The sequence below is a fragment of the Homo sapiens genome, chromosome Y, assembly GCF_000001405.40.
Source record: "Homo sapiens chromosome Y, GRCh38.p14 Primary Assembly".
Classification (NCBI taxonomy): domain Eukaryota; kingdom Metazoa; phylum Chordata; class Mammalia; order Primates; family Hominidae; genus Homo; species Homo sapiens.
The window spans coordinates 9775558-9798989 of NC_000024.10; the positions used below are offsets into that span (position 1 = coordinate 9775558).

A 23432-nucleotide genomic window follows, 5' to 3' on the forward strand; every position below is an offset into this window, starting at 1 on the left:
CAGTCCTCAGTCTGAGGAAGGTCAGTTGAAGTCCTTACTGTACACATCCAAAATTTAAGAAAAGTGAGTCCTACAATGAGTTTCCTCATGTTTTGGCCATGCGTGGACCAGTCAGCTCCTGGGTATGACTGGAGTAGGGCTTGTCATCTTCTTCAAAGTCACCTTGGAGGTGTTATCTGGGCTTGGTCTCTCCTCCCAGGTCTCAGGTGCTGCAGTTTTAGGTGGCTATGATGGATCCACGCTAGAATTTTCTCTACATTTGTGGCTGTGGGAGTGGTCAAGACGAAGGCCTGGTGTCCTTTCCACCTGTGGCCACAAGGGGGCTACTTTCCGATCCGGGATCCACACCCGATCATCTGGGAAGAAAGTCATTTACCCTGGCTGAAATTGTTTCTGTAATTTTCCCTAGAGCCTGTAATTGTTGCTGTAACTCAATTTTACCTAGCTCTCAATGAGTGCCTAGGAGTCCCCGTAGTATGGGAGGGGGCCTATGATATAATATTTCATAAGGTGAATATCCTGTTCTTTTAGAAGGAATACATTTAATCTTAAACAATACCTTAGGGAGAGCTTGTGCCGGCTTTAATCCTCTTTCTTGACACACTTTTTCTAAACTATTTTTGATAGTCCAGTTCATCTGCTTCACCTTTCCGCAACTCTACGGTCAATAAGCAGTATGTAGTTTCCATGTCATTTCCAATACCTTTGCTGCCTTTTGTACCAAGTCAGCAACAAATGATGGCATGTTGTCTGAGCTCATTCATAAGGGCAGTCTAAACCTAGGGATGACATCTTGGAGAAGCACATAGTGTACTTCACGAGCTTTCTAAGTTTTTGTTGGATAGGCCACCACCCACCCAGAGTATGTACACACTAGAACTAGCAAATACTTGTTACCTCTACATTTGGATATCTTGGTGAAGTCTACTTGGATGTTTTCAAAGCGGGCTAATCCATAAGCTTGTATGTTGGGCAAGACGGTTAGACCTTGCCTAGCATTTTTCTGTGGAAAGGTGACACACTGAGTTTTGGTCTAGGTGGGTGGTCTCATGCACAGCCAGTACCACTGTGGCTACTAGTAGTTGTGACATGGCTATTCTTCCATCAAATAACAGAATCTTTCCCTCTTCTATCACATGCCCTCCCTCTGCTTGGAGAAAGTCTTTCTTTTCTTTAGAATAAATAGGTACAAGGTCAGGTACCTGATGGAGCAACAGGATTGTGACTGATGCCCCATAGTGGGTGGATGCTGCTTTCCGAGACTCTGAGTCAGCTCGGGAGTTCTCCAAGGCAATCGAGTGGAAGTTTGCTTGTTTCCTCTGCAGTGTATGACTGCTTTTCTTGTAGATTGACAAGCTACTCCCATCCATGTACAGCTCCAAATCTACTGATGCCCAAGAATGGTCTCAATGGGGAGTCTGCTAAAATAAACTGTGTCCAACACCTCTACACAGTTATGTTCACCTGGGCTCTCTGACACCAGTAAGGTGTATGTAAGGTGGTGGAGTTCAAGGTGTTGCAGACTTCAATGATTATGTGGGGATTTTCACAGAGCAAGCTTTGGTAGCTACTTACCCTTGCATTCATTAGCCAATGATGTCCTTTGGTATTCATTAATAACACCACAGCATGGGGAGACTTTATGTTCAGGTTTTGCCCAAGAGTTAGTTTATCCACTTCTTGTGCTAGCAGGGCAGTTGCTGCCAAGGCCTTCAAACATGGGGGCCAACCTTTAGAAACTCCATCTAGCTGTTTGGAGAAGTAGGCTACCAATCTTGGCCAGGGCCACACTGTGTGGGTAAAAACTCCAGCTACCATTTTTCTCTCTCTGACACATATAGTGTAAATGGCTTTGTGAGGTCAGGCAGCCCCAGAGCTGGGGCTGATGTAAGTTTCTCTTTTAATTCATGAAAAGCTCATTACTGTTGGGACTCCCATTCAAAATTCTCTCTGTTACCTCCCTTTGTGACTTCCTACAGTACTGAAAATACAGCTCCTAAGAATTCTCTCATCTGCCTTCTGGTTTTAGTCTCCAGTAGGTTGCAAATGACCTGCTTTCTTTCTGATCCTAGGCTGTGCTCCATTGTAGGATAGTAAATCCCAGATAACATAAATGCTGTCAGCAGATCTGAGCTTTCTTTGGACACCTCATACCCGCAGTCCCCCAGGTGCCAGAGCAGGGTATCCATTCCCTTGGGGCACCCGATTACTGTTGGGTGTCCCTGCAGGAGGTCATCAACAGACTGGAGCAAAAAACAGTCTAGGTCTCTGTGGGAAACTTCTGGAAGTCCCGAGCCAGTACCTTCCCAAAGATAGTGGGGGAGTTATTGAACCCTTGGGGAAGCAAGGTCCAAGTGTACTGAGTGGTGACACCTGGCCCCGCATCTTCCCACTCAAAGGCAAAGAGTTTCTGGTTCTCAAGGGCTAGGCTGATGCTAATGAAGGCATCCTTCAGCTGTCCTCAGCTGGCAGCAACCCCAACAATTTGTAGGAGTTAGGTACAACTGGGGCAAAGTCACTGTAGCTTGGATGACTGAATACAACTCCAGTACTGGCCTGTAGTCCTTGATCCCTGGCTTTGGAACAGACAGGCAGGGAGTGTTCCATGGATACTAACAAGGGACTATAATTCCAAGGGCCCTCAGGTGCTTGAGATGGACCTGGGTACCTTCAAGAGCTTCTCTGGGGACTAGGGACTGTTTTTTCCTGGCTGGCTGGGCCATAGGCTTATCTCCTATGAGTAAGAGGGCCTAGTTAATTGCCAATCCTGGAGGGTTCTTTTCTGCCCACACTTTTGGCCATCACTTAGCCAGAGCTGGTCTTACATCTTAGCTTAACTGAATTAAGAGGCATCTCCATTCCTTCTCGCTAGGAACAATAAGGGCCATGATGACTCTCCTTCCAAGTAACTTTAACTGTAAAGAGCTGTGTTTTGTAAAAGAGATGGTGGCTCTCAGCTTGCTAAGTAAGTCCTTCCTACCAAAGGCAAGGGGCAGTCAAGCATGTACAGGAAGTGGTGAATCACTTAATGACCCCCCCATCCCCTAAAGTGCAGGTCTAGGGCAAACAGAAAGCTTACTTTGTCAGGACCCCTGTGTATCTGATTATATTACTAGTCTTTGTGGAAAAGAGGGCGACCAGGATGGTTACTACTGCACATCAGCCCGGACCCCCACAGTCCAATAACACTTCTGCTAGATTGAATAAGTCCCCTTCATCTTTGTCTGAGGACTCCTGCTCAGAGTCACCTTATTTCCCTTTCAATCTGGGGCACTTGTCCTTCCAATGCCCTATTTCCTTACAGCAAGGACACTGGTTACACAGCAAGCATGGATGACCAGACTGGGTATTTTTCCTAGGGCCCCCCTTCTCTCACCACTTTGGGGGGGCCCCTCTAATAGCCGCAGCTAGAAGGTCAACGTTTCACCAGGCTCGGCATTCACTCTCTCTGAGGTTCCCTCTGCAGCTTACTGCATCTCTATTTACAAACTTCTGGTGGGCTATCTCCAATACTGTGAATTATTCATGCCTGCAAACCCAGTCTGTTTCTGCCATTGTCTTCTAATGTCTTCTATACTTTAAGTAACTAAAGCCATGTTAATCATGTGCTGATATTGAGGGCTATTGGGATCAAAGGGAGTATATTGGGATCAAAGGGTCCCACAGTGGGTGTTCATAGGCAGCTTTTTCATAATACCAGGATGGCTCTGTCTGTACAATTTCCCTCTGCTTAGGCAGGCTGACAGCTCTGACAGCCTGGAACAAGATGTTGCCTACAGATATGCATGCACTAGTTTGAGGGGACCAGGCCTGATTGTGAGAGTTGGCTACCATCACAATGAATGTTATCATTGCCTAGAGAAAAGTCCCTGCAGCTTGGTTGAGAAGGAGACCTCTGAGGAGGTGCATCAGCAGTTGACTCAACTGTCTCCTCTGTGGGATTGTTCCATGATCCTAGGAGAGGGCAGACTTGAGCCAACCTCAAGAAACATCAAACAGAGCCCCAGGAATAAATTGCAAAATCCCTAAGTTTCCAAGATGACCTGCAGGATTCCTCAGGCTGGCCTAGACATTGTAGGGGTGAGTCTTTTTGAAACTTGTTCTGCTGTGACTTCTTGGTACAGCCCACCAGGGTTTTTCAAGGTTGCTGTCTCCCAGGTAAGGCTTCCTGAAGAACGACATAGTGTCAGGCACTGCTGGGTTGTGTGTTTCTGTGAAAGTGTTGGGAATATCGGATATGTGTGCATGTGAGGCATGGTGTGTTTCTGGCTGTCTATGTGTGTATGAATGTAAGTGGAGTTATCTTAAAGAAATGTGGCTAATGCACTTCAGCGCTTTTTTTTAAGTCTCCCCACCTTATGGTCACCTGTCTGTGTGTTTCTGCTTGGGCAGTGGGGCACCGTGTTCTTTATTATTATGTGGATCCAAAATCCACAGTGAATTGGTATGTGGGCAGGGAACTGCTGGTGTCCAAAACAACTCCCTCTGCAAGAAAAGCCACTGTTCTAGAAAAAAAGAAAAGCACACCACACCAAAAGATAGACATCTCCCTGTGTTTCATATTCCTATGGCCAACACAGGAAAAGACACTAGCAGTTCTGTCGGCAGGGCCCCTTAATTTTACCTCAAATTCTGTTCTGAATTGAGCAGGTGCTTCAAGTCCTAAGGAGGCACACCTCCATTGTCTTGGGATTTTATCCTGGGATATAGAGTGTGAGCAGCAATAAAGTCAGATGGGGTGAGAATACAATGTGGTGAAAAGTGGATGGGGTCCCACAACTTTACCTGCAAAAAAAGAATAAAGACAGATGACAAAGAAGTTTCTTCCAACTCCATGCCTGCTTTACCTTAATTGCAAAAGCAGTCCAGACAATGGCTCAGTGTTCAGGTATGAGTATTCCAATGTGCAAGGAACATTTGGAGTGCAAATTGGGACCATCCTGGCAAACTGCCGATTTGTGGGCTTTAATACCCAAAGTCAAATGTGGGTGGAATGGATTGATGCTGGTTGGATGGGGCTTCCAGACATGCCTCTTTGTTTCATGACTTCCATGATTCTCATTGTTTTAGGGTTTCCTGGGTCTGGCCTAGTGACTACCACACTAAACGTTTCCCAGTTCATGGAGAATGACTCTCATGGGAATCCATTGTGTGAATGTTTCCTTCTAAACAGCGTCATGTACTAAGGACTGGGAAGATTTGATACTTTTAAAAATATATATTGATGTTACAGCTGCCAAAAGAAAACTTGTTCTCTCACATCTATTGGAGGGGCCCATGACTCCTGTAGGATGAGAAGCAGGCTTGTGTGTCAAGTTTTTCCTGGTAATCTAGAGTCTGTTTCATCATCTGCACAACTTTCTTATTTTGGACGGGCACTTTCATTGAACTGTTGCTGGATGGAACTGCCTTTCACCACAGATTATGAATCTGCCAGTGATTTCAGACAGCAAAATGACTTTCAATAGGCTGCCTGCACTCCACATTGTGGGTCGTTGTCTCATTGTGGGGGCTGAGGTTGTTTGCACTTTGTAGGGTGTTTTGGGTCTCCTGACAGGAATCATTGAACATTGCTTGGATTCCAGCACAAGGAAGCTTGTTCTCTCAGGTGAGACTTTTTTTTGGACACCCTTTTCAGGCTTGCCATGACTGCAGATGGTGTCTGAGACACTGTCTAAACCTTATCTGCACCCAAGAGGTGACAATACGGATGTGAGACCATTGCTTCATATTGGATTTGCCTTTGTGTTGCTTCCTGTATTTCCCAGAAAGCCTCTGTGAGGCACAGCATTAAGGGAAGCTGTGAGGTCAAGAACCCAGCCATCTTTCACTGACCTCTGCCCTTAGGGTCTTAGGTATGATTCTATCAACAAAGAACCCTTAACACACCATACTATATTGCAATCCCTATGGTACCAGACTGTCGCAAAGAACATCTTTTGGGAATGAAGTCAGAAGAACAGTTTGCTGTGACCACCTCAGAGTCTCAAAACCCTTCCTCCTCCAGCAAGACCCAACCACAAAAACTGTCTAAAGGCGCCCTGAGTTTGAGAATTTTAGTGTCCTGCTCTGGGTTTTTCCAGGCTGCCTTTTTCTTGATACCAGGCTTGCCCTGCCTGTACCATTTTTTACTGCATAGGCAGGCTGACAGCTCAGACTGACTGATGGCGGAGCCTGCCTCACAAATGTGCATGCGCTAGTCTCACAGCACCAGGCCTGACTGTGACCTTTCAGTAGAGTGACAATTAATGTCATTGTTGCCTAATGCCAAGTCCCTGTGAATTGGAGAAGAAGGGCACCTCTATACAGTTTTGTTGCCCATGGACTCCCACTTGTCTTCTCTGTAAGACAGACAGGACAGTCCCATGATCCCAAGAGAGGGCAGATGTGAGAGTCTGTAGAAACATCAAGCACAATTCCAGAAATAAATTCTGAAATCCCAAAGGATGCAAAGAAATCTGTAGGATTCTTCAAGCCTGCCTAGGCATTGTAGTTGTGAGTCATTTTGAAACTTGCCCCACTGTGATTTATAGGTACATCACGCCTGTGTTCCCCAGGGCGGGGCGGGGAGAGGGGCTCTCTCCCACATTCAAATGTCCTGCAGTACCAGGCAGCCTTAGGAGTTCCCACGCTGTGTGTTTCTGTGGGAGTGTTGTAAATGTTGGATGTCTGTGTGTGTGTGTGTGAGACATTGTGTGGTTTTGTGTGTGTGTGTATGTGTGTGTGCCTGTAAGTGGAGTCTGCTTAAATGACTGTGGATAATGCACTTCATTGCTTCTTTTTTTTGAGTCACCAAACCTTTATGTGCCCTGTCTGTGTGGCTTTGCTTGGACTGCGGGGTCCAGGTTTTCTATTTTTCTGTGGATCATGAATCCACAGTGAATTGGGAGGTGGGCTGATACCTGCCATAGTTTAAATCATGTCCCTCTGCAAAAAAAGAAAAAAAAAAAGGAGAGAAAAAAAAAGAAAGCCATTCTTCTAGAAAGAAGAGAAGCACACCACACCAAAAAAAAAAATGACATCTAGTGTTTCATTGTCCTGCAGCCTAACCATGGAGACACTAGCAGTCCTGTTCTTAGGTCCCCTTGAATTTACATTGAATTAGCTTCCCAGATGAGCAGGTGCTTCATGTCATGAGGGGGTATTCCTTCATCATCTTGAGATTTAATCCTGGGACATAGAGTGTGAGAAGGAATAAGTTCAGATAAGGGTGAGGATAAAATCTGGTGAGGGGTGGATGGAATCCCAAACTTCACCTGCAAAACAAATGAAGACAGGTAACACAGAAGGTGCTTTCAATTCCATCCCGGTAAATCCTTAATTGCAGAAGCAGTCCACACCATGGCCAGGGGTCCAGGTGAGAGTGCTCCAACATGCTGTGGATATTAGGAGTGCAAACTGGGGCCATCCTGGCAAACTCCCGATTTGAGGGCTTTCATACCCATAGCCAAATGGGAGTTGAAGGGATTGAGGCTTGGCGGGATGTGGCCTACAGACTTGCCTCTTCTTTTCCTGATTTTCATGATTCTTATCATCCTAGGGTTTTCTGGTTCTGGCTCAATGACTTCCACAATAAATGTTATCCAGTTAATGTGGAACGACCCTCAAGGGAATCCATTGCCTGAGTGTTTCCTTGTAAACACTGTCATATTTTAATGACTGGGCAGTTTTGTTACTTTTAAAACTGTTAATACCCATTAGACCCACAAACAATGAAACTTTGTCTCCCATTTCTATTGAAGGGCTGCATGATTCTTGGAGGATGAGAAGAAGGCAGCCATGTCTCACTTTTTTTCTGGTAATCTAGCCTCTGTATCACTGCATCTGCATGGCCATCTCATTGTGGAGGAGCTCTTTCATTGAGATGTTGCTCGATAGGACTGCCTCCAGCAACAGATTATTTAGCTGTCAGGAATTTCAGAAAGCAAAAGAGACTCTGTGTAGGCTGGCTGCATTCCAGGTTATGGGTCATTTTCTCCTTGTAGGGGCTGTGGTGGTTTTAACTTTGCAAGATAATTTTGGGTCCTGTAACAGTAATCATTGAACATTGCTTGGACTACAGAAAAACGTACCTCATTCTGTCAGGTGAGTCTTGAGTTTTGTTTGCTTTCATGGGGAATCCACAGTACTCCTCAACAGTACTATTGGACATGCTTTTCAGGCTTGCCACGGTCACAAATGGACTCTGAGACACTCACGCTCATTTGCATCTGTAAAAGGCCAGTTTAACTTGTGAGATCACTGCTCCACATTGGACTTGCATTTGTCTTGGTTTCTGCTTTTTTCAGATAGCCCCTGTGAAGTCCAGGATCAAGGAAGGCATTGAGGTCAAGAGCCCAGCCATCATTTGCTGAAACCCACCTCTGGGGTCTCAGGTATGATTCTATCACCCAAAGAACCCTCTACAATACAACAAACTGTATTTCAATCCACAAGGGACCCGATTCTTGCACACAGCCTCTTTCTGGAATGGAGTCAGAAAAGCAGTTTCTAGTGACAAACTCATAGCCTCAAAACATCTCCTCCTCCATAGGGGCCTGATCATGGAGATGATCTGAAGGGGACCTGAGGTCTAGATTTTAGTGTCCCACAGTGGGTTTTCATAGGCAGCCTATTTCGCGACATTCGGCCAGATCTGACTGTGCCAATTTCCTCTGCTTAGGCAGGCTGACCAATATGACAGCCAGGGGCCATAGCCTGCCTCACAAATGTGCATGTGCTAGTCTCAGAGCACCTGGCCTGATGATGAGCTCTCACTAGTGTCACAATGAATGTCATCATTGCCTAGCAAAAAGTCCCTGTGGCTTTGCAGACATAGAGACCTCCGTGGAGATGGGTCAGCAGTGTACTCTCACCTGTCTTCTAGGTGGGATCCACTGGATTATTTCATTGTCCTAGGAAAGGCCAGACATGAGCCAGCATGAAGAAACATCAAGCAGAACCCTAGGAATAAAATGCAAAATCCCTATGGATCCAAGAAAATCTGCAGGATTCCTCAGGCCTCACTAGACGTTGTAGGAGTAAGTCTTTTTGAAAATTGTCCTACTGTGATTTCTAGGGACTGCCTGCCTGTGTTTCTCAGGGTTGTTCTTTCCCAGGTGGGTCTTCCTGCAGAACCACACAGTGTCAGGAGACGCCAGGTGAAGTGTTTCTGTGAGAATGTTGTGAATGTTTGATGTGTGAGGTATTGTGTGTTTCTGTCTTTGTGTGTGTGTGTGTTCCTGTAAGTGGAGTCTGCTTAAAGGAATGTGGCTAACGCACTCCAGTGCTTCTTTTTATTGTGTCTCTCCACCTTTTGGTGGTCTATGTGGCTCTGCATGGATGGCAAGGCTCCATGTTCTTTATTTTTATGTGTATAATAAATCCCCAGTGAATTTGGAGGTGGGCTGGGAACCGCCGGCATCCAAATCAACCACCTCTGCAAAAAAAGTCACTGTTTTACAAATAAGGGGAGCCCTTTGTCAGATGAGTAGGTTGCAAAAATTTTCTCCCATTTTATAGGTTGCCAGTTCACTCTGATTGTAGTTTCTTTTGCTGTGCAGAAGTTCTTTAGTTTAATTAGATCTCATTTGTCAATTTTGGCTTTTGTTGCCATTGCTTTTGGTGTTTTAGACTTGAAGTCCTTGCCCATGCCTATGTCCTGAATGGTAATGCCTAGGTTTTCTTCTAGGGTTTTTATGGTTTTAGGTCTAATGTTTAAGTCTTTAATCCATCTTGAATTAATTTTTGTGCACACGTATGTTTATTGCAGCACTATTCGCAATAGCAAATACTTGGAACCAACCCAAATGTCCAACAATGATAGACTGGATAAAGAAAATCTGTCACATATACACCACGGAATGCTATGCAGCCATAAAAAATGCTGTGGCTCACACCTGTAATCCCAGCACTTTGGGAGGCCGAGGCAGGTGGATCATGAGGTCAGGATATCAAGACCATCCTGCCTAAGACGGTGAAACCCCGTCTCCACTAAAAAATACAAAAAAAATTAGCCAGGCGTGGTGGTGGGCACCTGCAGTCCCAGCTACTCAGGAGGCTGAGGCAGAAGAATGGCATGAACCCAGGAGATGGAGCTTGCAGTGAGCCAAGATCGCTCCACTGCACTCCAGTCTGGGCAACAGAGCGAGACTCCGTCTCAAAAAAAGAAAAAAAAATGATGAGTTCATGTCCTTTGTAGGGACATGGATGAAACTGGAAATCATTATTCTCAGTAAAATATTGCAAGGACAGAAAACCAAACACCGCATGTTCTCACTCATAGGCGGGAATTGAACAATAAGAACACATGGACACAGGAAGGGGAGTATCACACTCTGGGGAATATTGTGGGGTGGGGGGAGGTGGAGGGATAACATTAGGAGATATACCTAATGCTAAATGACGAGTTAATGGGTGCAGCACACCAGCATGGCACGTGTATACACATGTAACTAACCTGCACATTGTGCACATGTACCCTAAAACTTAAAGTATAATAAAAAAAAAAAGAAATAAGAGGAGCACACCACATCAAAAAAGCAGGCATCACCCTGTGTTTCATATCCCTATGGTCAACACAGGGAGAGGCACAAGCAGTCCTGTGGGCAGTGCACCTTGAATTTACCTAAAATTTGGTTCCCAGAGGAGCAGGTGTTTCACGTCATGAGGTGGCAGTCCTCCGTCATCTTGGAATTTTATCTGGGGACATAGAGTGTGATGAGTAGTAAGGTTAGATAGACATGAGGATACAATCTGGTGTGAGGTGGAAGGGGTCTCTCAACTTCACCTGCAAATAATAATAATAATAAAAAACACTGATAATACAGAAGGTGCTTCCAACTCTATCCCTGCATTCCCTGAATTGCAGAAGCAGTCCACATCATGGCTCGGCTTTCAGGTAGCAGTACTCCAACGCTCAAGTAACATTTGAAGTGCAAATTGGGGCCATCCTGGCAAACTTCCGATTTGAGACCTTTCATACTCAGAGCCAAATGGGAGTGGGATGGATTGATGCTGGGTGGGATGGTGTTTCCAGTCTTGCCTCTTCTTTTCAGGCCTTTCATGATTCTCATGGCCCTAGGGTTTCCTAGTTCTGGCTTAACGACTTCTACACTAAACATTTCCCAGTTCACAGATAATGACCCTCATGGAAATCCATTGCATAATTCCTTCTAAACACTGTCATGTTTTAATGACTGGGAAAATAAGATACTTTTAAATCCATATATCCCTGTCACATCAGCCAAAAGCAAACTTGTTATCTCTTTTCTATCGAAGGGCTGCATGAATCCTGTAGGATGAGAAGCAGGCAGTTGTGTTAGACTTTTACCTGGTAATCTAGACTCTGTTTCATTTCATCTGCATGGCCTTCTCAATTTTGAAGGGCAATTTCATTAAACTGTTGCTTGGTGGTACTGCCTCTCACCACAGATTATGTAGCTGCCAGGGATTCCAGAGAGCAAAAGGGACTTCCATTAGGCTGTCTGTGCTCCAGGTTGTGGGTCATTGTCTCAATGTGGGGGCTGAGGTTGTTTGCACTTTGCAGAAGGCTTTTGGGTCTTCTGAAAGGAATAATTGAACATTTCTTGGACTCCAGGACAAGGCATCTTGTTCTTTTGGGTGAGTGTTGATTTTTCTTTTCTTTCACAAGGAATCCACAGTTCTCCTCAACAGAACTAATGGACACCATTTTCAGGCTTGCCATCTCTACAGATGGCATCTGAGAACCGTCTAAACATCATCTGCACTTGTTACAGGACAATACGAGGTGTGAGAACACTGTTTCACCTTGGACTTTCCTTCATCTTGGTTCCTGCCTTTCCCAGAGAGCCTCTGTGAGGCCAAGGATAAAGGGAGACAGTGAGGTCAAGAGTCCGGCCATCCTTCACTGACATCTGCATCTATGGTCTCAGGTATGATTCTATCACCCTAAGAACCCTCAACTACACACCATACTGTATTCCAATCCTCATGGTATCTGATTCTTGCACACAGCTTCTTTTGGGAATGAAGTCAGAAAAACAGTTTCCAGTGACCACCTCAGAGTCTCAAAACGTTTTCTCCGTCAGAGAGATCCAACCATGGAAACGGCCTGAAGTGGTCTTGGGGTTGAGACATTTAGTGTCCCACAGTGGGTTTTTGCGGGCCCCCTTTTTCTTGATAACAGGGTGGCTCTGCCTGTACTATTTCCAACTGATTAGGCAGGCTGACAGCTCTGACAGCCTGGCACCAGAACCTGCCTCAAGAATGTACATGCACTAGTCTCACAGCACCAGGCCTGATTGTGGGCCCTGGGTAGTACCAGAATGAATGTCATTGTTGCCTAGCGCCAAGTCCCTGCAGCTTGAAGGATAAGAAGACCTCCGTTGAGTTGCATAGGCTGTGGACTCACATCTATCTTCTCTTTGGGATAGATGGGATAGTTCCATGATCCCAAGAGAGGTCAGACATGAGCTTGCCTGAAGAAATGTCAGGCACAACCCCAGGAATAAATTGTGAAATTGTTAAGGATACAAAAAATCTGCAAGATTCCTCTGGCCTGCCTAAAGGTTGTAGATGTGAGTCTTTTTGAAACTTGCCCCGGTCTGATTTCCAGGTACAGCCTACCTGTGTTCCCAGGGGTGGCTCTCTCTTCAGTGGGGCTTCCTGCAGAACCAGGCAGCCTCAGGAGTTGCAGGTCTGTGTTTCTGTGAGAGTGTTGCAGGTGTTGGATGTCTGAGTGTGTGTGTGTGTGTGTGGCATTGTGTGTTTGTGTATGTGTATGTGTGTCCCTGTAAGTGGATTCTGCTTAAATGAATGTAGCTAATGCACTTCATTGCTTCTTTCTTTGAGTCACCAAACTTTTAGGTGGCCTGTCTGTGTGGCTGTGCTTGGGCTGCAGGGCTCCTTGTTTGTTAGTTTTTCTGTGGATCATGAATCCTCTGTAAATTGGGAGGTGGCCCAAGACCTGCCATTGTTTAAATCACCTCCTTCTGCCAAAAAAAAAAAAGCCACTCTTCTAGAAAGAACAGGAGGACTCTACACCAAAAAAAAAACAGACATCTCTCAGTGTTTCATTGTCCTGTGGCCAAACCAGGGGGAGACACTAGCAGTCCTGTCTGTAAGTCCCCCTGAATTTCATCCCTGTGACTCACGTATGATTCTATGACCCAAAGAACCCTCTACAAGACACCAGAATATACTCCAATCAACATGGAACCTGATACTTGCACACAGCCTCTTTTGGGACTGGAGTCACAAGAGCAGTTTCCAGCAACCACCTCACAGTCTCCAAATGCCTCCTTCTCCAGCAGGACCTGACCATGGAGAAGTGGAGAAGGCTGGAAGAGTCTCTGAGGTCTAGACTTTTAGTGTCCTGCAGTGGTTTTTCACAGACAGCCTGTTTTGTGATACTTGGCCAGCTCTGCCTGTACCATTTTCCTCTGTTTGGGAAGGCTGACAGCTCTGACAGCCAAGGGCCCTAGTCCACCTCATGAATGCACATGTGTTAGCCTCAGGGCACCTATCCTGATTGTGAGCTTTGGGTACCCTCACAATGAATCTCACCATTGCCTAGCGACAAGTTCCTGCAGCTTGGTGGAGATAGAGACCTCTGTGAGGGTGCATCAGCTATGGATTCTCACCTGTCTTCTCTATGGGATCCACAGGATTGTCCCCTTGTCATGGAAAAGAGCAGACATGAGCCAGCTTGAAGAAATGTCAAGCAGAGCCCCAGGAATAAACTGCAAAATTCCTAAGCATCCAAGGTCTGCAGGATTCCTTAGGCCTGTCTAGACATTGTAGGTGTGAGACTTTTTGAAACTTGCCCTACTATGGTTTCTAGGTACAGCCCACCTGTGTCCCTAGGGTTGCTCTCTCCCTGGTGTGGCATCCTGCAGAACCATACAGGATCAGGAGCTGCTGGGCCATGTGTTTCTGTGGCAGCATTGTGAATTTTGGATATGTGCGTGTGTGTGAGGCATTGTGTGTTTATGTCCTTTTGTGTGCATGTGTGTGTGTGCCTTTAAGTGGAGTCTCCTTAAAGGAATGCAGCTAATGCACTTCAGTGCTTTTTTTTCTTCTGTCTCCCCATCTTTTGGTGGCCTGCCTATGTGGCTCTGCTTAGGCTTCAGGTCTCCATGTTCTTTATTTTTATGTGGATCATGAATCTGCAGTGAATTGAGAGATGGACCTGGAATCGCTGGTGTCCAAATCAACTCCCTCTGCAAAAAGAAGCCACCGTTCTTCAGAGAAGTGGAGAACACCACACCAAAAAACAGACATCTTCCAGTGTTTCACAGTTTTGTGGCCAACACAGGGTGGCCCAACACAAGCAGTCCTGTAAACATGGCCCCTCGAATTTACCTCAAATTCGGATCCCAGCCGAGCAGGTGCTTCATGTCATGAGGAGGCACTCCTCCATCATTTTGGGATTTCGTCCTGGGACATAGAGTATGAGCAGGAATAGGGTCAGATGGGGTGGTGATACACTCTGGTGAGGCATGGATGGGGTCCCACAATTTCACCTGCAAAAAATAAAATAAAATAAATAACACAGATGTCACAGTTGGTGCTTCTAAATCCATCCCTGCATTCCCTTAATCGAACAAGCAGTCCACACCATGGCTCAGTGTTCAAGTGAGAGTACTCAAAACAAAAACAAAACACTTGTTCTCTCACATCTATCAGAGGGATTCCTGTAGGATGAGAAGTAGACTGCCATGTCACGCTTTTACCTGGTAATCTATACTCTGTTTCGTTTCATCTGTACAGCCTTCTCATTTTGGAGAGGTTTTTTCATTGAACTGTTGCTGGATGAGACTTCCTCTTGCTACACATTATGTAGCTGCCAGTGATTTCAGAGAGCAAAAGGGACTATGGCCATGTAGGCTAACTGCACTTCATGTTATGAGTCGTTGTCTCGTTTCTGGGGCTTAGGTTGTTTGCACTTTGCGGGAGGGTTTTGGTTCTTCTGAGAGGAATCATTAAACATTGCTTGGACTCCAACACAAGGCTACTCTTTCTCTCAGGCAGGCATTGATTTTTCTCTGCTTTCATGGGGAATAAACAGTGCCCCTCAGCAGCAATGCAGGACACCATTTTCAGGCTTACCATCACCACACAGAGCCCCTGAGACCCGGTGTCAACCTCACCTTAGAGTTGACTTTGTCGTGGTTCCTGCCTTTCCCAGAGAGGCCCTGTGATGCCTAGGATTAAGGGAGACAGTGAGGTCAAGATCTCATCTGTCTTTCAATGACACTGACCTCTGGGGTCTCAGGTATGATTCTATCATTCAAAGAACAGTCAACAACACATCAGACTATATTCCAATCTCTTTGGGTTTCAATTCTTGCACAGAGCCTCTTTCAGGAATGGAATCAGAAGAGAAGTTTGCAGTGACCACCTCACAGTCTTGAAACACCTCCTCCTCCAATGGGACCTGACCACGGAGATGGCCCAAAGGGGTGTTGAGGTTGATACAGTCAAGGTCCTGCAGTGGGTTTTGGCAGGTAGCCTTTTTCCCGATACCAGGCTGGCTCTGCCTGTAGCGTTTTTCTCTGCTTAGGCAGGCTGACAGCTTTGACAGCCCAGTGCCTGAGCCTGCCACATGAATGTGCATGGGCTAGTCTCAGAGTAGCAGGAATCATTGTGAGATTTGGCTAGCATCACAATGAATGTCACAGTTGCCTTGTGACAAGTACCTGTGTCTTGGCAGAGAGGGAGTCTTCCATGGAGGTGCATCAGGGAAGGACTTTTGCCTATCTTCTCTGGAATTCATGTGATACTCCCATGATGCTAGAAGAGAACAGAAGTGAGGCAGTCTGAAGAAGCACGAAGCCCAGCACCAAAAATAAACCATGGAATCCCTAAGGATACAAAACTATCTTCAGGATTTGTCAGGCCTGCCTATACATTGTGGGGTGTCTTTTTGAAAGCTGCCCCTTTGTGATTTCTAGGTATAGCCTGCCTATGTTCCCCAGGGTTGCTCTCTCACAGGTGTGGCTTTCTGAAAAACCATGCAACCTCAAGAGCTGCTGGGCTGTTTCTTTCTGTGGGAATGTTGCAACTGTTAAATGTCTTTGTGTGTGTGTGACATGGTGTGTTTGTGTGTGTGTGTGCCTGTAAGTGGAGTGTGCTTAAAGAAATGAGGCTAATGCACTTGAGCCCTTCTTTTTTATGAGTCTCCCAGTTTTTCAGTGACTTGTCTGTGTGGCTCTGCTTGGACTGCGGGGCTCCATGCTTTTTTTTTTTTCTGTGGATTATGTATCTGCAGTGAATTGGAAGGCTTGCAAGATGTGGTGGTGTCCATACTATCTCTGCCTGCAAAAAAAAAAAATTCACTCTTCCAGAAAGAAGAGGAGCACACCACACCAAAAAACAGGCATCTCCCAATTTTTCATTGTGCTGAGGCCAAACTATGGATACTTGCAGTCCTGTCCAGAGGTGCCCTTGAATTGAACACCAGTTCGGTTCCCAGCTGAGCAGGTGTTTTATGTCATGAGAGTGCACTTCTCCATCGTCTTGGGATTTTATGCTGAAACATAAAGTGTGAGCAGCAATAATGTCAGATAAGGGTTAGCATAAAATCTTGTGAGGGGTGGACTTGTCCTGCAACTCCACCTGAAGATAAAATGAAGACAGATGCCACAGAAGGTGCTTCCAACTCCATACCTGCCTTCCCTGAATTGAACAAGCAGTCCACACTGTGGCTCAGCGTTCAGGTTGAAGTACTCTGATGTGCAAAAAAAATTTGCAGTGCAAATTGGGGCCATCCTGGTCTACTCCCTATTTGAGTTCTTTCATTCCTGTATCCAAAAGGGAGTGGAATTGATTGATGTTGGGTGGGCTGTGGCCTCCTCACTTGCCTCTTCTTTTTTGAATTCCGTGTTCCTCATTGGCCTAGGGTTTCCTGGGTCTGGCTTAATGACTTCCACACTAGATATTTCCCAGTTGACAAAGAACAACCCTCATGGGAATCCATTGAGTTAGTGTTTCCTTCTAAACAATGTCAGCTTTTAATGACTGGACAGTTTCATACTTTTAACACTGTAAATTCCCATTAATGTCTACCAACAGGAAAACTCTTGTTCTCCCACTTCTATAGGAGGGCTGCATGATTCCTATAGGATATGAATCAGGCAGCCGTGTCTGGCTTATGCCTGGTAATCTAACTTATCTTCCATTTTATCTGCACAGCCTTCACATTGTAAAAGAGCTCTTTCATTGGGCTATTGCTGGATGATATGGCCTCTTGCCACAAATTATTAAGCTTCCAGGGATTTCAGAGAGCAAAAGGGACTTCAGGTAGGCTGACTGTGCTCCATGTTGTGGGTTGTTGTCTCACTGTTGGGCTCAGGTTGTTTGCACTTTGCAGTAGGCTTTTGAGTCCTCTGACAGGAATCACTGAACAGTGCAGAGACTCCAGCACAGGGCACCTCATTCTTTAAGGCAAGCCTTGATTTTTCTTTGCTTTCGAGGGGAATCCACAGTGCCCCTCAATAGCACTACTGGACAGGTTTTTCAGGCTTGGCCTCACCACAGAAGGCATCTGAGACACTTTCTCACCCATATCTGCATGCATGAGAAGCCAGTCTGAGATGTGAGAACACTGCTTCGTTTTGGGCTTGCCTTTGTTCTGGCCCTGTGCAGAGATCCCCTGTAAGACCCAGGATGAAGGGAGGCAGTTAGATAAAGAGCCCAACCATCATTCACTGACACCCACCTCTGGGGTTTCAGGTATGTCTCTATCACTTAAAGAACCCTCAACAACAAACCAGACTATATTGCAATGCCCCTGGGGCCTGATTCTTGCACATAGCCTATTTCAGAAATGGAGTCAGGAGAGCAGTTTCCAGGAACCACCTCACATCACAGTCTTGAAACTCCTCCTTCTCTAGTGGGATCCCACATCAGAGAAGGCATGAAGGGGCTCTGAGGTCCAGACTTTTAGGGTACCACAGTGAGATGTTGCATGCAGCCTTTTTCCCAATACAATGCTGGCTCTGCCTATATGATTTTTCTCTGTTTAGGCAGGTTGACAGCTTTGACAGCTGGGCACCTGGTCCTGGCTCATGAATGCACAGGCACTAGTCTCAGGCATTAGGCCTGATTGTGAGCTCTGGCTTGCATTACAATGAATGTCACCATTGCCTAGAGACACATCCCTGGGCCTTGGCAGAGAAGGAGACTTTGTGGAGGTGCTGCAGCCGTTGACTGTCATCTTTCTTCCCTGTGGGATTCACAGAATAGTCCCCTGATCCTAGTAGAGGGCAGAGGTTAACCAGCCTAAAGAAATGTCAAGCAAAGACCCATGAATAAACCTGAAAATCCCTAAAAATCCAAAGGAATCTTAGGTTTCCTCAGACCTGCCTACAGGTTGTAGTAGTGAGTCATTTTGAAACTTGCCCCACTGTGATTTCTCGGTACAGCCTGCCTGTGTTCTATGGGTTTGCTCTCTCCAAGGTGCAGCTTCCTGCAGAATCATGCAGCCACAGGTGCTGCCAGACTGTGTTTCTGTAGGAGTGTTGCTATTGTTGGATGTCTGTGTGTGTCTGTGACATGGTGTGTGTGTGTGTGCACATGTATGTAATAAAGTCTGCTTAAAGGAATGTGGCTAATGCACTTCAGTGCTTCTTTTTTTTGAGTGTCCCAACCTTTTGGTGGCCTGTCTGTGTGGCTCTTCTTGAGTTGCAGGGCTCGATGTTCTTTATGTTTCTGTGCATCATGATTCTGCAGTGAATTGGGAGGCAAGCTGATATTTGCTGGAGTCCAAATCACCGACCGTTGCAAAAAAAGCCACTCTTCTAGAAAAAAGAGGAGCACACCACACCAAAATTCAGACATCTCCAGTGTTTCATTGTCCTGCAACCAACTACGGAAGAGATACTAGCAGTCCCTTTAGCATTACCCCTTGAATTTACCTCCCATTCTGTTCCCAGCTGAGCAGGTCCTTCATGTTGTGAGGGGGCTCTCTTTCATTGCCTTGGGATTTCATTCTGGGACATAAAGTGTGAGCAACAGTAAGGACAGATAGAGGTGAGGATATAATCTGGTGAAAGGTAGATGAGGTCCCAAAATTTCACCTGCAAAAAAAAAGTGAAAACAGCTGACACAGAATGTGTTTCCAACTCCATCCCCACATTCCCTAAATTGCACAAGCAGTCCACACTATTCCTGGGTGTTCATGTGGGAGTATTCCAATGTGCAAGGAACATTTGGAATGCAAATTGGGACCAGCCTGGCAAACTCCCAGTTTGAGTGTTTTCATACCCAGAAACAAATGGGAGTGGAATGAATTGATGCTGGGTGGGATGTGGCCTCCACACTTAACTCTTGTTTTCCTGAATTACATGTTTCTCTTCGGGCCTAGGGTTTCCTGCATCTGGCTCAATGACTTCCACACTAAGCATTTCCCAGTTCATGGAGAACGACACTCATTGGAATCCACTACGTGAGTATTTTCTTCTAAACAGTGTCATGTTTTAATGACTGGGCAAAACCACAAATTCCTGTTACAGTCACCAGCAAGAATACTCTTGTTCTCTCACTTCTATCCGAGAACTGCATGATTCCTGTAGGATGAGAAGCAGGTAGCTGTTTGTGGCTTGTGCCTGGTCATCTTGCCTATGTTTTATTTTATCTGCACAGCCTTTTTATTGTGGAGGGACTCTTTTATTAGGCTGTTGTTGGATGAGACTGCCTCTCATCACAGATTATTGGGTTGCCAAATATTTCAGAGAGCAAAAGGGACTTTGGGTAGGCCAACTGTGCTCCAGGTTGTGGGTTGTTGTCTTGTTATGGGGGCTGATGTTGTTTGCACTTTGCAGGAGGCTTTTGGGTCCTCTGACAGGAATCATCGAAGATTGCCTGATGCCAGCACAAGGCAGCTCATTGTCTCAGGTGAGGCTTGATTTATCTTTGCTCTCATGGGGAAGACACAGTACCCCTCAACAGCACTGTTGGACACACTTATCAGGCTTGCCATTGCCACAGATGGCCCCTGAGACAATGTTTCAACCTCATCTCCACACGCTAGTGTTCAGTCTGAGGTGGGAGAAGACTGCTCCACCTTGGACTTGCCTTAGTCTTAGTTCCTGCCCTTCCCAAAGAGCCCCTGCAAGTCCCAGGGTGAAGGGAGGCAATGACATCAAAAGCCCAGGCATCGTTCACAGACAACAACCTCTGTGGTATCAGGTATGATTCTATCACCCAAGGAACCCTCAAAAACACACCTGACTGTATTCCAATACTTATGGGACCCGATTCTGGCACACAGCCTCTTTCAGGAATGGAGTCAGAAGAGCAGTTTCCAGTGACCACCACACATTCTCAAAATGTCTCCTCCTCCAGTGGTACTCATCCATGGAGATGGCTTTGGGAGCCCTTAAGTAGAGACATTTATGGTCCTGCAGTGTGTTTTCACAGGCAGCCTTTTTCCCAATAGCATGCCGGCTCTGCCTATACCATTTTCCCCTCTTAAGGCAAGCTGACAGCTCTGACTGCCAGTCACTCAAGCCTGCCTCATGAATGTGCATGTGCTAGTCTCAGGGCAAAAGGCCTGATTATGAGCTCTGGCTAGCTTCACAATTAGTGTCACCATTGCCTAGTAACAAGTCCTTTCAGCTTGGTGAAGGACGAGACTTTTGTAGAGGTGTGTCAACCGTAGGCTCTTGCCTGTCTTTTCTGTGGGACCGCAGGATAGTCTATTGATCCCAGGAGAAGTCAGACGTGAGCTAGCCTGAAGAAACATCAAGCACAGCCTCAGAAATAAACTGAGAAATTCCTAAGGATACAAAAGGGTCTGCAGGATTACTCAGGCTTGTGTAGGCATTGTAGAAGTGAGTCTTTTTGAAACTTGCCCAACTGTGATTTTCAATTACTCCTGCCTCTGTTCCCTGGGGTTGCAATCTCCAAAGTGGGGCTTTCTGCACAACCACACAGCCTCAGGAGCAGCTGGGGTGTGTGTTTCTGTGGGAGTGTTGTGAGTATTGAATGTCTGCATGTGTGTGGCATTGTGTGTTTGTGTGTGTATGCATATGAACCTGTAAGTGAAGTCTGCTTAAAGGGATTTGGCTAACGCATTTTAGCCCTTCTTTTTTTTTGGAGTCAGCCAACTTTTGGTGGTTTCTCTGTGTGGTTCTGCTTGGGCTGCAGGGCTCAGTGTTTTTTATTCTTATGTGGATTATCAATCTGCAGTGAATTGGGAGCCAGGCTGAGACCCAACAATGTCCAAATCAACTCCCCCAGCAAATAAATAAATAAATAAATAAATAAGCCACTCTTCGAGAAAGAAAAGGAGTATACCACATGAAAAAACAGATATCTCCCAGTGTTTCATTGTCCAGTTGCCAGCCCAGGAAGAGACACTAACAGTCCTGTCCACATCGCCCCTTGAATTTACCACGAATTCAGCTCCCAGCCTAGCAGGTGCTTCATGTCACGATAAGGTGCTCCTTCATAGTCTTGGGATTTCATCCTCGTACATAAGAGTGTGAGCAGCAATAAGTTATATAAGGGTGAGGCTACAATTTGGTGAGGAGTGGTTGGAGACCCACAACTTCACCTGCAAAAAAATAAAGGCAGATGACACATAAGGTGCTTTCCACTCCATCCCCACATTCCCTTAATTACACAAGCAGTCCACACTGTGGCCTGGTGTACAGGTTGGGAGACTGCAATGTGCAAGGATCATTTGGTGTGTAAATTGGTGTTATTCTGGCAAAATCCTGATTTGGGGGCTTTCATACCCAAAGCCAAATGGGAGCAAAATGGATTGATGCTGTGGGGATGTTGCCTCCACACTTGCCTCTTCTTTTCTGGACTTCCATTTTTCTCCTTGGCCTAGGTTTTAATGGGTCTGGTTCAACAGTTTTCACACGAAACGTTTCACATTTCACAAAGAATAACCCTCATCAGAATCCGTTGCATGGATATTTACTTCTAAACACTGTCACGTTTTAATGACTAGGCAGCTTTGATAGTTTTAAAGCCATAAATTCCCATTAGAGCCTCCAACAAGGAAACTCTTGTTATCCCATGTCTATCAGATAGACGTGGATCCTCCTCCTGTAGGATGAGAAGCAGACAGCCATGTCTGGCTTTTCCTGGTAATCTAGCCTCAGTTTTATTTCATCTACATGGTTTTCTCATTTTGGAAGGGCTCTTTCATTGGGCTGCTGCTAGATGGGACTGCCTCTCACCACAGATTATGTAGCTGACAGGATTTCAGAGAGCCCAGAGAGCCAAGGGACCTCAGGAAAGCTGGCTGAGCTCCAGGTGGTGGGTCATTGTCTCGTTTTGGGGCCTGAGGTTGTTTGCACTTTGCAGAAGGGATTTGGGTCCTCTGACAGGAATCACTGAACATTGTTTGGACCCCAGGACAAAGCAGCTCATTCTCTCAGTGAGCCTTGATTTATCTTTGCTTTCATGAGGAATCTACAGTGGCTCTTGATGGTACTGCTGGACACCCTTTTCAGGATTGCTATCACCACAGACGGCCTTTGAGACACTGACTCAACATCATCTGCAACTGTGAGAAGCCAATCAGAGGTGTGAGAACACAGCTCCACCTTGGTCTTGCCGTTGTCATGGTTACTGCCTTTCCCTGAGAGCCTCTGTGAGGCCCAGGATGAAGAGAGACAGTGTGGTAAAGAGAACAACCATCTTTCACTGACGCCAGCCTCTGGGGTCTCAGGTATGATCCTATCACCCAAAGAACCCTAAAAAACACACCAGGCTATATTCCAAATCCCATGGGACTTGATTCTTGCACACAGCCTCTTTTGGGAATATAATTAGAGTAGAAGTTTCCAGCAACAAACTCACAGTCTTAAAATGCCTCCTTCTCCAGCAGGAAGCAATCACAGATGGCACAAAAGGGGTCCTGGGAAGTTGAGACTTTTAAGGTCCCACAGTAGGTTTCACAGGTAGCCTTTTTTTTCTGGTACTGGGCTTGCTCTGCCTATACCATTTTCCTCTGCCTAGGCAGGCTGACAGCTCTGACAGCTGGACACTTTAGTCTTCCTCACAAATGAGTACGCCCTAGTCCTAGGGCATGAGGCCTGATTGTGAGCTCTGGCTAGTATCACAATGAATGCACTACTGCCTAGAGACAAGCCTCCAAGGCTTGGCTGAGAAGGAGAACTCCTTGGAGGTTGTGTCAGCAGTGGACTCTTGCCTGTCTTCTCTGTGGGGTCCATAGTATGATCCCATGATCCTAGGAGAGGGCAGACGTGTGCCTACCTTAAGAAACCTCAAGCAGAGCCCAAGGAATAAACCGCGAAATACCTAAAAATCCAAAGGACCTGCAGGATTTTTCATGCTTGCCTAGATGTTGTAGGGTTGAGTCTGGAACGCAACCCAACTGTGCTCTCCAGGGTTGCTCTCTCACAGATGGTGCTTCCTACAGAACCTCAGAGCCTCAGAAGCTGCCGGGCTGTGTGTTTCTTTGGGAGTGTTGTGAGTGTTGTATG

General features: G+C 46.0%; 1 long non-coding RNA gene across 1 annotated transcript; it reads left to right on the top strand.

Moving 5' to 3' along the window:
- Positions 1-19232: 19232 nt before the first annotated feature.
- On the top strand, positions 19233-22540 carry LOC107987342 (uncharacterized). The gene is made up of 3 exons (XR_001756059.2): positions 19233-19411; positions 19788-19860; positions 22392-22540. It is a non-coding gene; the product is annotated as an uncharacterized LOC107987342 (long non-coding RNA).
- Positions 22541-23432: the final 892 nt, after the last annotated feature.